The sequence below is a fragment of the Homo sapiens genome, chromosome 17 (genome assembly GCF_000001405.40).
Source record: "Homo sapiens chromosome 17, GRCh38.p14 Primary Assembly".
Taxonomy (NCBI): Eukaryota; Metazoa; Chordata; class Mammalia; order Primates; family Hominidae; genus Homo; species Homo sapiens.
Window position 1 is genome coordinate 32,477,599 of NC_000017.11, and position 13,811 is coordinate 32,491,409.

Sequence of the window (13,811 nt, forward strand, 5' to 3'; positions counted from 1 at the left end):
GGTTGGTATGGAATGTGAGTGGAAGAGAGGGACGTTTAAGTACTTCAAAACACACTTTTAAAAATAATTATAGTTTCAAAAGAAGTTGCAAATGATTCCATGTATCCTTCACCTAGGACAGTATTAAAACCAGGAAATAGTTAAGCACTTTGTACAATGAAACTTACTGAGTTGATATAAAATATATATTATTTATACATAATACCTTTCTATTTCAAAAGTTCTTTCTGTCCTTTTTTCACTTTGATTTTTCACAACACACCTATTTATTATCTGCATTTTATGGTTAAGGGAACTGGGATTCAGGAGGACACTCAAAGTCACACAGCATAGGGTCAGAGTTTGACTCTAGGCCTAGTGCTTGTTCCACATGACACAGTTGTAGGCATTCCTTCAGCTCCAGAAATGCCAGGTCTGCTCCTCTGTGGACAGAAGGGAAGTCTTGATGTGCGTACTTGGACCCAAAGAAACGTCCTCAGGGTGATGATCTAGGCTTTCTTTAACCCTGGTGCATTTTGCTCATTGTTTGGGAGTTTTGAAAAGGGAGAAAAGCCTGTCTGGGCATTAGGGTGAGAATTATATAGTCTTTCCTGAACCTCTCTCCTTTTAGTCTGAGTATAATGATCAACTTAATAAAAACAAAACCTAGATCCAGAGAGAAAAACTTAGTGTGGATGGAGACTAGACCATGTGGCTTTGACTGTCCCTGAGATTCACCATCTTCCTGGAGGGCTCTTGCCAATTCCTATTGCGTCTTACTTGGCATGATTCGCCTGCTTCCCTTAACACCTTGTAGCACAGCTGACATGAGGCTGGGATGTTGAGACCATTACTGATGGTCCAGTAAATCACACACATGAATACTTGGTCTAGATCATTTTATCCCAATGTCTGAGATGTTTGATGGGACACTTTTATTCCAAATAGTTCCTTGGAAGAAGGATTCTGTGATTAGATATTTGGGAAATACTAGGGCTAAACAAAATACTAGGGCTAATAATAATTAAAACACCTAATTTTGCTTAATCATTGCAGAGCCATGTTATGCTGATGGTCCTCATAAAACTCCCAAGAGCTAGTTGTGGAATTCAGCATTTCCTATTCTTTAACCTCAATGTTCTTTTTTTCCCCCCCATGGAGACCCTATTTATTCTGTAGAATACATGCTGAGAAATGCTTGTGTAGCTAATTTGGTTCATGAGCTGAGTTGCTCTTGGGGCTTACATGGTTTGAGCTGTTCACCTGAAGCCTGCAGACAGAAAGATGGTCCCTAGGGTGACTCCACCTTTTTGTTCTATTTTGTATTTTTTTTTTCTCTTAGAGACTACCATAAAATAGCATTTTTAAAAATTTATTTTTAGAGATGGAGGCTCTCTGTGTTGCCCAAGCTGGACTTGAACTCTTGGGCTCCAGCAGTCCTCCCACATGAGCCTCCCGAGTGACTGGGACTCCAGGTGCGTGCCACCAAGCCAAACTTCCCTTTCAGTTCTTGACATTCCTTTTCTGCTTTGTATCATGCATCTCCCCAGATCTCCCCTAACTTCATTCAACCATGTAGTTTTATAAGGGCCAGCAGACTATCTAGGAAGCAGGAGTAGCATGACTTTAAAGTGATTCTCTGTGCCAATCTCTGCAACTGGTTCCTTTGGCAGGCTCTGACAGATTACCGGGCAGAGCTCCGGGATGACCCAATCATCAGCACACACTTGGCCAAGTTGTATGATAACTTACTAGAACAGAATCTGATCCGAGTCATTGAGCCTTTTTCCAGAGTACAGGTGAGAACCCTCTGGGGACTCCATTTCTGGCCAGGCATTCTCACTGTAGCCACCTCCCTTCCACACCTGTCCAGAATGGGAACTCACTTCTAGGGGTGTGCCTGGTGGGCAAGAGGCCACCAAGAGCTTGGGCCTCTGTTGATAAAATGAACAAAAATCGAGGAGAGAGATGCTGTGGGTAGAGGCATGTGGGTTGCCCCTGCATGTGTTCTGAGCAGTTTCCTCCTCGCTTTTAGTCACTGCATGTGTTGTACCTGTTTTCTGTATTGGGTGTGTGGGATAAGAGTCTGTTTATTGTGTGTAGCAGTGAAGGGCAGGCAGATGGGCAGAGAACAAGAGACTTAAGCACGGCCAAGGAGGGTCTTACATTAGAATTTTGAGAAATACAGCAGTTCTCCCCCTGTTCCCTCCCTTCTCTTATTGGAGGCAAAAGTAAAACTTTCAGTGTTGGTGTCTCTCTGCCTTTCCTTTTAGATTGAACACATATCTAGTCTCATCAAACTCTCCAAGGTAAGGAGTCTTAAGGCCATCTGCAGGGAGGAATGGGACGGGGTGGCGAGGAGGGGTGGCACATGCACCTGATTGGCCTCATTGGAAAGCTCCCCAGCTTCTCAGTGGGGAATGGGCAGTGTGGACTAGAGTAGGAGTTGCATTGTTGCTATTTTGTTTTCAGTCCATTTGGCCTAAGACCCCTCCAACAAAGCTACTGTGTCAGGGTGATCTCTGACTAGTGGATACTGGTCCCTTTAATCATGTGCTTTGATTTTAGGCCGACGTGGAAAGGAAATTATCACAGATGATTCTTGACAAGAAATTTCATGGTAAGTAACAGTCACACAGGCAAGGGGGCTGGTGGTGGTGATGAGATGGTTGAAGAAGTTTATTTTCAAAGAAGATGTTCTATTTGTTTCCCCCGATGGTTCACCCTGGGGTCCTGGCCCCTCTTCCCTGTGATGAGAATGTGTAATAAGCATGTGTACATGGAATAGGGAGATGAATTCTATTTCCCTTCTTTTCTGGACACAGTGAGTCAACTAGGGAGTGGGCTGCTTCACAAACACTTTTGTGTCTAACCTCATCTTTTACCTGGGTTGCCCTTGTGTTTCTTGCAGGGATTTTGGACCAGGGGGAGGGTGTCCTGATTATTTTCGATGAACCCCCAGTAGATAAAACTTACGAAGCTGCTCTGGAAACAATTCAGAACATGAGCAAAGTAGTGGATTCCCTCTACAACAAAGCCAAGAAACTGACATAGGTGAGTGCTGGCTTCAGGACCCCAGGGCTGGGCAGCTCTGTCTTCTGCGTGTCGAGACTGAAAACCTCCTCCTGGTGTCCTCATGGCTTCCTGATTGACACTGCTCTGTCTTCTCTTGCAGAGTTGGATCTGTAGCGGTCCTTTGGAGAGTGTGTGTGGCGGGAGAGTGAAACCTTGGGGGAAAATGCTAGGAGATTCTTTTTTCTTTTTGTTCTACTTTTCGCTCGGAAAGTTTTTAAATCCTCATTTGGTGCATCTGTATTCCAGCCAATAGGTGTGCCAGTTTTCATGTAATCTTTACTGGCCCAACTTGGGAGTGGGGAAATTGCTTAAAAAAAAAGAAAAAGAAAAAAAAAAAGATTATTCTAAATAAAAGGAAAAAGGCTTACACTACCTAAAGCTGTGCTCTCTGCCTCCTGGGAGAGGGCCGCAAAGCCAGGCACCCCGCCAACCACTGGGGGTCCTAATCCACCTGCTGGGCATCACCTCTCCTCCTCCTCAGAATTGGGTGTTTGCTGACCATCAAAAGCAATGACTTTTTATTCTGTTTGTACTGAACCAAAACAAACAACTGTGTATAGACTGCTGTTTTCTTTTTTATTTGAAATGAGGCATTTTGGTGTTCTTTCCCCTACCATACGGCCTGTCTGCCCTTCCCTCCCCACATTGGCTCCAGCAGAGTAGCCGAAGGTCCTGCCGCCGCCGCCACCACCACCACCACTGCAGCAACAACAGCAGCAGCAGCAGCAGCGCCTGCATAGCTCCACTCTGACCTGTGAAGGAATGGGGATGAGGCCAGGAGCTAGTGTCTACCACGGCCACACAGGGAGCAGTGTGGGCCCTTAGCCCCCAAGGGGCCTGCTATGCATGTGGCTTTTTTTTTTTTTTTAAACACAGTAAACTAGATTAGTCGTCAGTGTTTTAATTGCCCCTCTTCTCCTCTCCTGCATTCCTCTCCTCTCTTCTTTCCTCTCTGTCCCTTCTCTTTCCCCTCTCAACCAGGAGACCATCATGTCTCTCTGCCTTCCTCCTCTCCCCTCCAGGGGAGTCAGGCTGTCTGTGAAAGCCATGAGCTTCTCTCCCTCTCCCACTCCTCCTCTCCTACTTTCAGATGGATTTATTCCTTTTTTAAACAATGAACATCGGAAATGAGACTGTGGGGTGTGGTTTCTCTCTCTCTTTTTTTTTTAATTTTCTTTGTTGGGTTTTTGAGCAACCTCATGTCCCCTTCCCAGGGAGCTTTTTAATTTACCTCTTAGAACTCAAGTGGATGGGAAGTAGAGCACTATGTGTCAGTATGCTTTGTTTTCTGACACGATTACACAGCGAGGCTTTAATGCCATTTGGGTAGGTGAGCTTCTGCACTTCTGTTGTGCTGAACTGTATTTTCTTCTCTCATCTCCTCTTTGTCTTTTTCTCTTTTCCTCTCCTTCCTGCCTTCTTCTGCTGGCCTCCTTTTCTCTTTCTTTACCTTCCTTGGATTATCCTTCCAGGTTTTCATAATAAATTTATATTTTGTAAAAGGATTTTGTTGTACCAGGTTTTGCATCCTCACTGAATCTGACTGGCTTTTATTTTCCTCTCCAAAATCAGGTTTTTGTTCTCAACATCTTTCCCCATCATGTCTAGTCACTGTTTTGGTTTTGGCACCATCAGTATCAAATGTACAAACGGTTCTTGCTAACCAACACCAGGTATATCTGATGTTCAGATGAGTTCCAATAAAAATAATTTTTTTTTTTTTCAAAAGGTGTCTTTTTCTTGAGTGCTGGAGGGCTTCCAAGCAAGTCCAGACAGCTCTGTGTGGCCCCACACTAGTCTAGCTCTCATCTGGCCAAAGCTGTTATCTCATTTGTGTAATGGGAGTCCTTAAGGTAAATTTGGGGTCCAAACTTGGAGGGCTTTGGGGGCAAGAAAGTTGGTGTGTGAGTTCTGAGGTTGGAAATGAGTTCAGGTGTCTTCTTCCAGGGCAGCATGGTCCAGTGAGCACATGTAAGTTTGGGCAGTAGATCCTCTGAGCCTACTTTCTCTTCTACTCAGTGAGGATGCTGCTTCCTTGGCAGGTGATTGTGATGTGAAGCTTAGTAAGTCATAGACGTGCAGGTGTCTGGAGAGTCCTGACATGCAGTTGTGGTTTCGTTTCCTTTTGGAATCTTCAAAGGCAGCGATTTTCATATTGCCTCACACCCTGGCGGGGGCGGGGGGCTCTGGGACCACTGGGGGACCTGCTAAATCCTCTTCAGTCTGAGCAGTTCAGCCATTGTCAGTTTTAGTATTGTGTCTCTGTATTTCACTTGCAGAAAGAGCTTTGCTTCTATAAAGGACTTTAAAAAGTACTCCAAAGAGATCTAGTTTTGGAGTAGAGGGGAGATGTTTTCTCAAACTTAGGGCAGTCCTGAGATGCTCAGGCAGTAGCCCTTTTCTCAGTTCCCTTTGCGGGTCTTGGTCAGATGATGCCCTCTAGACCCGTGCTGTCCAATATGTAGCCGCTAGCCATGTGCAGCTGTCAGGCCCTTGCAACGTGGCTGGTTCGAGCTGTGATACACTGCAAGTGTAAACACAAACCAGACTTCGAAGGCTTAGTATGATAACAAAAGAAAAGGAGTGTAAAATATGTCAATAACTTTTTTATATATGTGTTGAAATATTTTGGGTATTGGGTTAAATAAAATATATTATTAAAATTCACCTGTTTCCCTTTTACTTGTGTAATGTGGCTGCTAGAAAATATAAAGTTACCTATGTGGCTTCTATCTGGACAGCGCAGCTCTAGACCTCCAGGACCAGCAGTTGTGTCACTGCCTCCTCTCCCAGGCCTCTCATGACCTGAGTCCAGGCACAGCTGGGAAGGTCAGCTGGCCGGTGGGCTGGCCTGGGCCCGGCTCCCTCACCTCCCTTCTGGGCTCCAGCCTTCATGGTGCCAGGACTTTCTTGTGTGTTAATGAGACTCTACTGGAGTTGGGAGCAGAGGCTCTGGTCCCCTGCTGTGTGCTAGTTATGTAATCTGTGCTGCTCAGAAGGGCCACTAGATGCTGCTCTGTGATCCCTGAAAGAACAAAGCCGACTTCCTCAGGAGTAAGGGCTCAGGCCTGCTCTATTTGGAACCCTTCTTGGAAGCTGTAGCTGGCCCCCGCCTTGACCTCCCTCCCTCGGGATGCTATGGGAAGTGGGGCATGCAGGAAGAGTGGACTCTCCGGCAGTCCACGGGCAGCCCAGCCCAGCAGGGAAGCTAACAAGCAGGCTGGCCCTTCAGGCAGCTAGAGATAGGCAATAGGCTAAGTAGGCTGATTGATGGGGGTGGGATTTGGAAATCTTCCCTGCAGTTCTATGATGAAGGCAGCTAGGAAGAAAACAGCTCTGCCTCATTCAACTGGGTCTGCCTTCTGGGTCCTTGGTTCTGCCATTTCTGGCAGTTGACTGTCCTTTCTTCCTTGCTTCCAGTTGGAGCAGTGATAGGAACTGGGGGTGGGGAGGTGGTGGTGGGTTGAATGAAAAGAGGAGCTCTGTGGTGTCTGAAAACCAGCATAACAGGCATGGCCTGGGTGATAGGAGCTCCTGGAGACCCCTCCCTTAGTCGCAGCAGCAAGTGGGCTGCCAGTGCCATCCCATTCCTGCTGTGCTGCAACTGTGACTTTGCCTTGGGCAAGTGTGAGGAGGCTGGTGTTCTGCCGAGAGCTCTGTTTGAAGGTGCTAGGGAAAGGCTGGCTGGACAAAGGTGAGAAGACACAGGGTATGGCCTGGCTTGAAAAGGCCCATGCAGAGGCATGCTGCTGCAGAGTGGGAAGCAGGGTAGTGGGGTGAGCTTGGTCCGCCTCCCCGTGAATTGGAATAGCTAGAATTGAGATTGAGAGTTAAAGGTAACAGAGTGGGCCCAGGTTTTTCTAGGGGGTGGATTTTTCTTTTTTTAGCCGAAGTGTCACTCTGTCACCCAGGCTGGAATGCAGTGGCACAATCTCAGCTCACTGCAACCTCTGCCTCCCGGGTTCAAGCTATTCTCCTGCCTCAGCCTCCCGAGTAGCTGGGATTATAGGCACCCGCCACCACGCCCAGCTAATTTTTTTAGTAGAGACGGGTTTCACCATGTTGGCCAGGCTGGTCTCAAACTCCTGACCTCAGGTGATCCGCCCGCCTTGGCCTCTGAAACTGCTGGACACAGTGTGGCCATCACGCCTGGCCGGGGTGGATTATAGGCTTCAAAATTTGGACATATTTTGGGAAGTGGAAAACATTTAACCTTGGCTCAACACTAGAATCTGAAGGGGGGCACAGAGCCAACTCAGGAGCTAGAGGCTCCAAGTAAGGGCTGAGGAAAAGAGGCTGGGGTTCGGCTTTCCTTTGAGAAGGAAAAGGGACACTTGGTCAGGGTCTCGAAGCAAATCGTTTCTTCTGGCTTTTTTTTTTTTTTTTTTTTTTTTTTTGAGATGGAGTTTCGCTCTTGTTGCCCAGGCTGGAGTGCAATGGTGCAATCTCGGCCCACTGCAACCTCTGTCTCCCAGGTTCAAGCGATTCTCCTGCCTCAGCCTCCTGAGTAGCTGAGATTACAGGTGCCTGCCACCACGCCTGGCTAATTTTTTTTGTATTTTTAGTAGAGACGGGGTTTCACCATGTTGGCTAGGCTGGTCTCGAACTCCTGACCTCAGGTGATCCACCCGCCTCGGCCTCCCAAAATACTGGGATTACAAGCATGAGCCACTGCGTCGGCCTCTTCTGGCTTCTTACTGTTACATGCAGGAGGGTTGAGGACAGCTCCATTTGAAGAGCAGGTAGGCTTGTACACTGAGGAACATTCACAGGGAGGGGCGCACTGAGCTGGGGGCCTGCCTTCCTCTTCTGAGTTCCCATAACAGCTGTTGTGGATGTTCTGAAAGGCTGTGGACAAAGTAGCCCTCTGGGTACAGAGCAATGCATTTTCCACTGTATGCCTTGCCCCCCAAGGTTCCTAAAGCCTGGAATTCCTATTGACAGAAATCTGAGTGGCACATAAACAAAACCCAGCACTTTCTGCCTTGATTGCACCATTTTGAATGATGCCAGATTCCCTTTCTGTTCCCCCTAGGACAGTTGACAGGGCTGGTGAAAGCCTAGTCGGCTGGAGTGGTCAGGTAACTGGGTGGCATCCTCTCCTCTGGAGAGCCACTCCCTCATCTCTAGGTCCAGAGATAATCTGGATTAAGACAGGGCTTAAGTTTCCTGTTTCCCAGGTTTGTGGTCAGTTTTGACTCGATCTCCAGAAACAAGGTAAAATAGTAAATGAACAACAGCCTTTGTGAAGGATCTGGATTCACATCTGACAGGAACAGCTTTCAGAAACAGAATTTTACTCAATTTCGCTAGCATCAAGTTCTCAAATTATACATACTTAGAATTGAAAACGTTTAAGAGGGTCAGAAAGCTGGCCGGAGGGGCAGTTGCTTCAGCTTTAATATGACAAATAAGAGGGCGAGTGGGAACTTAGAGGTCATATTTGTGACGGGCTCAGGCTTGGCTACGGGCCACGCTTCTCTGGCTTGGATCTCTGAGGCCCACTTCGGCCGCGGTCATCTACCCATGATGAGGGAACGGAGGCCCCGGAGGGGTGGCCAGAACCGATTGGACTGTCCACTCGAGGTGCGCGTGGCACTCGGGAGGCCTCAGTAAAGGCGTCGCCTCTCCCCGCCCAGGGCCTTCTTCCCCGCGCTCCCTGGCTGCTTTCCACAGGGACGGGGATGTCAGGTGGAAGGAGGGAGCTCCGGACCCTGGCCTCGGCGGAGGGCTCCTCACCAGGCCAGGGCGGCAGCCTCAGAGAGGGCGGGCCGCGCGCTGCCAGGGCAGGGACTCGGCCGAGAGTGCCCCCGCGGCCGGCAGCTGCGGGCGCCGCGGCGGGAACAAAGGCAGCACGTGTCTGGGCGGGACGCGGGCGGGGTCGGCCCTCGGCTCCGCCCTGCTCGGCGCCCGCCCCGCGTCGGCAGAGTTGGGTTGCGCGGGCGCCGAGGACTCTCCGGCGGCCGGGCTGCTGTTGGGCGGCGGCGCGGAGCGGGCGGCGAGCTGTGCGGGAGGGGCGGCCCCGAGGGGCGGGGCGGGCCGACGCCGCGTGTCCCGCCGCAGCCGCGGAGTCCGGCTCCTAGATGGGGCCCGGCGCGTAGAGGTGCCTCCCGCTCGTTGCCGCGTCCTACCCGCACCGTGCGCGGCTCGAGCTGAGGACACCAACGGCCGCGACTCCCCGGCGAGACCAGGCCGGAGCGTGGACGGCGCGCGCGCCCCGCGAGGGAGGGCGCTGAGGCGCGCGCCGGAAGCGGGAGCGGGAGCGGGAGCGCGGCGGCGGCGGCGAAGGTGCGGGCGGCCGAGCGGGGGGCGGGGCTGCGGTGCCTGCAGAACCTTGGACAGAAGCTCCCTAGCTGCCGCCGCCGCCGCCGCCGCCGTCGCCGCCGCCGAGCGCGAGCCCAGCCGATCCCCGCCGAGCGCCCCCGAGCGCCGCCGAGCGCCGGGACCGCGGCGGCGGGGCCGCGGCGCGCATTGCGGAGGGCGCGGAGCGCAGGAGCTGCCGCCTGCCGGGTAAGCCTGCGCTGGGCGGCCGTCCTTGGCCCTGGGGAGCGGAGACCGGGGTCGCGCCCGTGCGGGGTGTCCAGGCGGGGGTCCTCGGCCGCCTCCGTCGGCGACCGGGCCCCTCCCGGCTGCGCCTGGGGACCGCAGCGGCGGCGGCGGGCGGGGGTGCTGCAGTGGAGGCGGCGAGGCTGCGTCGCGGGGGCGCGGGTAGGGCCCGGGACTGGGGCGGCGGGGTGCGCCGAGGCGCGGGGCGGAGGGGCGCAGGGGCGCAGGGGCGCGGCGCGGAGCCCAGCCTGGCGCTAAGAACCATCTTGTTTTCCAGGCAGATCCAAGGGGGCAGCACGCTTCCCGGGAGCGCCCCCGCCTCCTCTCCGGGGCCGCCGCAGGCTCGGTGAGCGGTTTTATCCCTCCGGCCGGCAGGCTGGGCGCGCAGGGGCGCGAGCCCCCGCCCGGCGCGCAGCAGCACCATGGGCACGGTGCTGTCCCTGTCTCCCAGCTACCGGAAGGCCACGCTGTTTGAGGATGGCGCGGCCACCGTGGGCCACTATACGGCCGTACAGAACAGCAAGAACGCCAAGGACAAGAACCTGAAGCGCCACTCCATCATCTCCGTGCTGCCTTGGAAGAGAATCGTGGCCGTGTCGGCCAAGAAGAAGAACTCCAAGAAGGTGCAGCCCAACAGCAGCTACCAGAACAACATCACGCACCTCAACAATGAGAACCTGAAGAAGTCGCTGTCGTGCGCCAACCTGTCCACATTCGCCCAGCCCCCACCGGCCCAGCCGCCTGCACCCCCGGCCAGCCAGCTCTCGGGTTCCCAGACCGGGGGCTCCTCCTCAGTCAAGAAAGCCCCTCACCCTGCCGTCACCTCCGCAGGGACGCCCAAACGGGTCATCGTCCAGGCGTCCACCAGTGAGCTGCTTCGCTGCCTGGGTGAGTTTCTCTGCCGCCGGTGCTACCGCCTGAAGCACCTGTCCCCCACGGACCCCGTGCTCTGGCTGCGCAGCGTGGACCGCTCGCTGCTTCTGCAGGGCTGGCAGGACCAGGGCTTCATCACGCCGGCCAACGTGGTCTTCCTCTACATGCTCTGCAGGGATGTTATCTCCTCCGAGGTGGGCTCGGATCACGAGCTCCAGGCCGTCCTGCTGACATGCCTGTACCTCTCCTACTCCTACATGGGCAACGAGATCTCCTACCCGCTCAAGCCCTTCCTGGTGGAGAGCTGCAAGGAGGCCTTTTGGGACCGTTGCCTCTCTGTCATCAACCTCATGAGCTCAAAGATGCTGCAGATAAATGCCGACCCACACTACTTCACACAGGTCTTCTCCGACCTGAAGAACGAGAGCGGCCAGGAGGACAAGAAGCGGCTCCTCCTAGGCCTGGATCGGTGAGCACTGTAGCCTGCGTCATGGCTCAAGGATTCAATGCATTTTTAAGAATTTATTATTAAATCAGTTTTGTGTACAGTATGTGTCTAGCAAAGCCACCAAGGGCCTCACCTTTCCCACAGTCTCTCCCTGGGGTTTTTTTCATCCCTGCCAAGAACTCTGGGCACTTTTGAACTCACGAGCCTTGCGCAAAACCCAGAAGATGTATTCAGAGCCACCCAGGCCACTGACCTCCCACTTTGGGGAACTCAAAGGACTGACCTGCCCCTGCCGCCTGTGCCCTTGCTGGGTCCAGGGTAGGCAAGGCTGCCGGCTGCACCCTGTATGGAGCTAGAGAGGGGCCTCTGGCTGCCTGGCCCAGGGAGGAATTGGGGTTTCTGGTTGGAGGCCCTTTTCTGGCTCCTGTGTGGAGTTATTCACTCTCCCAGAGGCTCCTGGAGCCAGCCACCCTAACTGAGCTGCCAGTGGGGTCGTGAGGCAAGATCCCCGCCACCCGGGGACATCTTCAATCTAGGCGAGGCGAAGCTGAGCGGGTCTAGTGGAAAGATTGTGTCTGGTCGTTTGACCACACACCGCCCTGATTTGCTGTTTTCTTTTTTTAGGGAGAAGGGCTTTTCTTTAGTGGAGAAATGGAACTCGCCCCCCTACCCCCTTGTCTGCTGCTCCCAGCCACGTTGGTGGTATTGGCCGATGAGCTGGTTTGACTCATTAATTTCTCTCAATTTGGGTCCCAGCTAAAGAGGTGGGGTGAAGCTGGGGACAGCTTTCCTGGGTGAGTTTTTCTTTTGAATAATGTAGTGCAGTCACCCTGTGGCAAATGCCAGGACAGCTGCAGGTGCCCATTAGCAACGCCTGCCTTCTGGGCAAGGTGAGGGATGCCATACCTTGAGACCAAGCCGGTGCCCACCTAAGGGCTAAGGCCTCTTGCTGGTGCACATGACATTTGTCCTGCAGAGCTGGGGGGAAGGCGATGTGGTGACCCCACCCCCACCCGTTAATTTAAAGCTGTTTCTAAACAGTTGAGTTTCTTCTAAAGAGGAAGCCTTGCCCAGCAAGGACCAGTGAGACAGCCGGATCTTGGAGACAATTACAAGACGGGGAGTGAGACTCCTGATTGCTCTGGAAGCCTGCTGATTTCTACAACTGATCATTTGCAGCTGCTGGTTTTGGTTTCCACCTTACCCTACTGGCTGTAAAAACACAAATGTGTACTTTATTGATTTTCTTTCTAATTCTCCCGCATTGGTGGCTTGGGACTTGGGAGAGGGAGCAAGCCTTCCTCCATGGCCCATCACTCGGCTGTGGAGAACAAAGACCAATGTGAAGACACTACAGAGGATTCTGTCTTCCAGGCCCAGTCCACTGGGGAGTGCTGGAATGGGGACCTGGGGTGGGGAGGCAGAGGGTCACTTTACATAGGATTAAGTTCGAGGTGGCTACCGATTTCAGCACATGCACTACTGAAATTTACACAAAAAGAAAGCTGTGAAATTGAAGTCCCAATTTAAGAGTCCTGAGGCAGAACCTGGTGGCTGGAGGCATTCCCAGAGGTGGGGAAGAGAGCCTGCCCGGCCGGAGAACATCTGCCTTGCTGCACCTGAGGCCCAGCAGAGCCGTTCCTGGGACTGTCAGATAATCGGTGCAGCGGTGGAAGGAGCCTGCGGCTGCTGGCACAGACTTCACACAGCACCTCCTCTCTGCTGGGTTTCCACACAGCCTGTCTTCAGATCCTGCTGCCGCGTGCGACCAGAGGTGGGAGGCCCCTGGTGGCATGGAAGAGGGAGGGTCAGTGCCAAGTCTCAGGAGGAGGGCGCATGTGTGTATCACCCTCAGCTGGCGGAACCTGGCTGCGAACTGTGCAGTTACGTTGCATCCACAGGATTCCAGTTGCGTGTCTGTTTCCTTCTCTTTCTCCGTATTTATTTTTTTATTCTTCGGAGGAGGTGGACATTTCGGAAGTGGTGGGGACTAAGGGAAGAACTCTCTAGTTCCCTCAGTGTGAAGCCTGTCGTGTTCTCTCCCCTTGCACTGGTCATCAGTATTGTGTAAAGGAACAACTGATATACTTGAGTGTGCAAGCAAAGAACCCATTTGCCATGCTGCTATGAAGACTACTTTTAGATCAACAATAAAAAAAAACCTACAAAAAAACCTTTATTCTTTAATTGTTGCTTTTACGGTGATATTGTGCATGCAAACCAGGAGCATTTTGTGTCTTAAGAAAAATAATCTTAGAACAGATGGCTGTGAAAATTACACCCATGCACAGAACAAGCCACAGGAATAATAGTTCAGGATTTGGTTTTTCTCTTTTTCTTGTAAACCTGGAGGGTTGATATATTCTTTCCATGCAGTTATTAGAACTTAGTTTTGTTCCAACAGTTAAACTTGCAATGAAAAGAAAATGTGCCATTTTTTTCACTCAGAATTATTCATAGCTGTATATTTGAAACTGCTAATTACACACGTGTGATGTATGTTGGTTTTTTAGTGCAATTTCTTCTGTAGCTATTCTTTGACCAAACTGTGGGTATTGTTAATATTAATTTATATTTGTCTCATTTTGTATGTATGTGTAGTGTGTTTGTGAGTATGTGTGGTTTATAATCTGACAAAGTCATGAAGCTCAGTTTGGCTGTAATTTAATTCCCCTTCCCTTATTTTTATTTATTTTTGTACTGTGCTGATTCAATAAAATGCACTGACCATCCATTACAGAGACCTCTTTTTGTGGGCAGGCTGGGGCCCCCTTTACTAAATGATTCATGCACTCAGAACATAATTGGATTTGTGTTATTGGGGAGGGGAGGACAGAGTTGGGGGCGAGGGCTTAACACACTAAGGTGATTAAGAAGGAAGCACAGGTTA

At 51.7% G+C, this 13,811-nt stretch overlaps 2 protein-coding genes across 3 annotated transcripts in view, besides 7 other annotated features; both read left to right on the forward strand.

The window, feature by feature from the left end:
- PSMD11 (proteasome 26S subunit, non-ATPase 11) overlaps positions 1-5,721 on the forward strand; it is a 38,810-nt gene extending 33,089 nt beyond the window's left edge. Inside the window, exons 10-14 of one of the 2 annotated variants that reach the window (NM_002815.4) lie at positions 1,653-1,778; positions 2,253-2,288; positions 2,548-2,599; positions 2,891-3,033; positions 3,155-5,721. In NM_002815.4, the coding sequence (NP_002806.2) occupies positions 1,653-1,778; positions 2,253-2,288; positions 2,548-2,599; positions 2,891-3,033 (357 nt within the window). In that variant the 3' untranslated portion in view covers positions 3,155-5,721. Of the gene's footprint in view, positions 1-1,652; positions 1,779-2,252; positions 2,289-2,547; positions 2,600-2,890 lie in introns of both variants that reach the window. The other variant, NM_001270482.2, reaches the window with a different exon arrangement.
- Positions 8,181-8,682: an enhancer, noted in NCBI's record as "H3K4me1 hESC enhancer chr17:30812797-30813298 (GRCh37/hg19 assembly coordinates)". NCBI's record gives its function as "activates a minimal SCP1, AML or CMV promoter by ChIP-STARR-seq in naive H9 embryonic stem cells {active_cell/tissue: H9 hESC(naive)}" and the evidence as "EXISTENCE:reporter gene assay evidence [ECO:0000049][PMID:30033119]".
- Positions 8,755-9,284: a silencer, noted in NCBI's record as "silent region_8422". NCBI's record gives its function as "represses an Ori minimal core promoter by ATAC-STARR-seq in GM12878 lymphoblastoid cells {active_cell/tissue: GM12878}" and the evidence as "EXISTENCE:reporter gene assay evidence [ECO:0000049][PMID:35858748]".
- Positions 9,395-9,654: a silencer, noted in NCBI's record as "silent region_8423". NCBI's record gives its function as "represses an Ori minimal core promoter by ATAC-STARR-seq in GM12878 lymphoblastoid cells {active_cell/tissue: GM12878}" and the evidence as "EXISTENCE:reporter gene assay evidence [ECO:0000049][PMID:35858748]".
- On the forward strand, positions 9,395-13,655 carry CDK5R1 (cyclin dependent kinase 5 regulatory subunit 1). The gene is made up of 2 exons (NM_003885.3): positions 9,395-9,564; positions 9,878-13,655. Exon 2 carries the CDS (start codon positions 10,023-10,025, stop codon positions 10,944-10,946), a length of 924 nt encoding a protein of 307 aa, NP_003876.1. The 5' UTR covers positions 9,395-9,564; positions 9,878-10,022; the 3' UTR covers positions 10,947-13,655.
- Positions 9,745-10,034: a silencer, noted in NCBI's record as "silent region_8424". NCBI's record gives its function as "represses an Ori minimal core promoter by ATAC-STARR-seq in GM12878 lymphoblastoid cells {active_cell/tissue: GM12878}" and the evidence as "EXISTENCE:reporter gene assay evidence [ECO:0000049][PMID:35858748]".
- Positions 9,745-10,481: a biological region, named in NCBI's record as "H3K27ac-H3K4me1 hESC enhancer GRCh37_chr17:30814538-30815097".
- Positions 9,922-10,481: an enhancer, noted in NCBI's record as "H3K27ac-H3K4me1 hESC enhancer chr17:30814538-30815097 (GRCh37/hg19 assembly coordinates)". NCBI's record gives its function as "activates a minimal SCP1, AML or CMV promoter by ChIP-STARR-seq in primed H9 embryonic stem cells {active_cell/tissue: H9 hESC(primed)}" and the evidence as "EXISTENCE:reporter gene assay evidence [ECO:0000049][PMID:30033119]".
- Positions 12,684-12,805: a silencer, noted in NCBI's record as "fragment chr17:30817300-30817421 (GRCh37/hg19 assembly coordinates)". NCBI's record gives its function as "represses an EF-1alpha promoter that drives an FKBP-Casp9 reporter gene in an ReSE screen in HepG2 liver carcinoma cells {active_cell/tissue: HepG2}" and the evidence as "EXISTENCE:reporter gene assay evidence [ECO:0000049][PMID:32094911]".

What these genes read in the sequence shown, in the direction of transcription:
- CDK5R1 (NM_003885.3), top strand. Translation starts at nt 10,023, where the DNA reads ATGGGCACGGTGCTGTCCCTGTCTCCCAGCTACCGGAAGGCCACGCTG.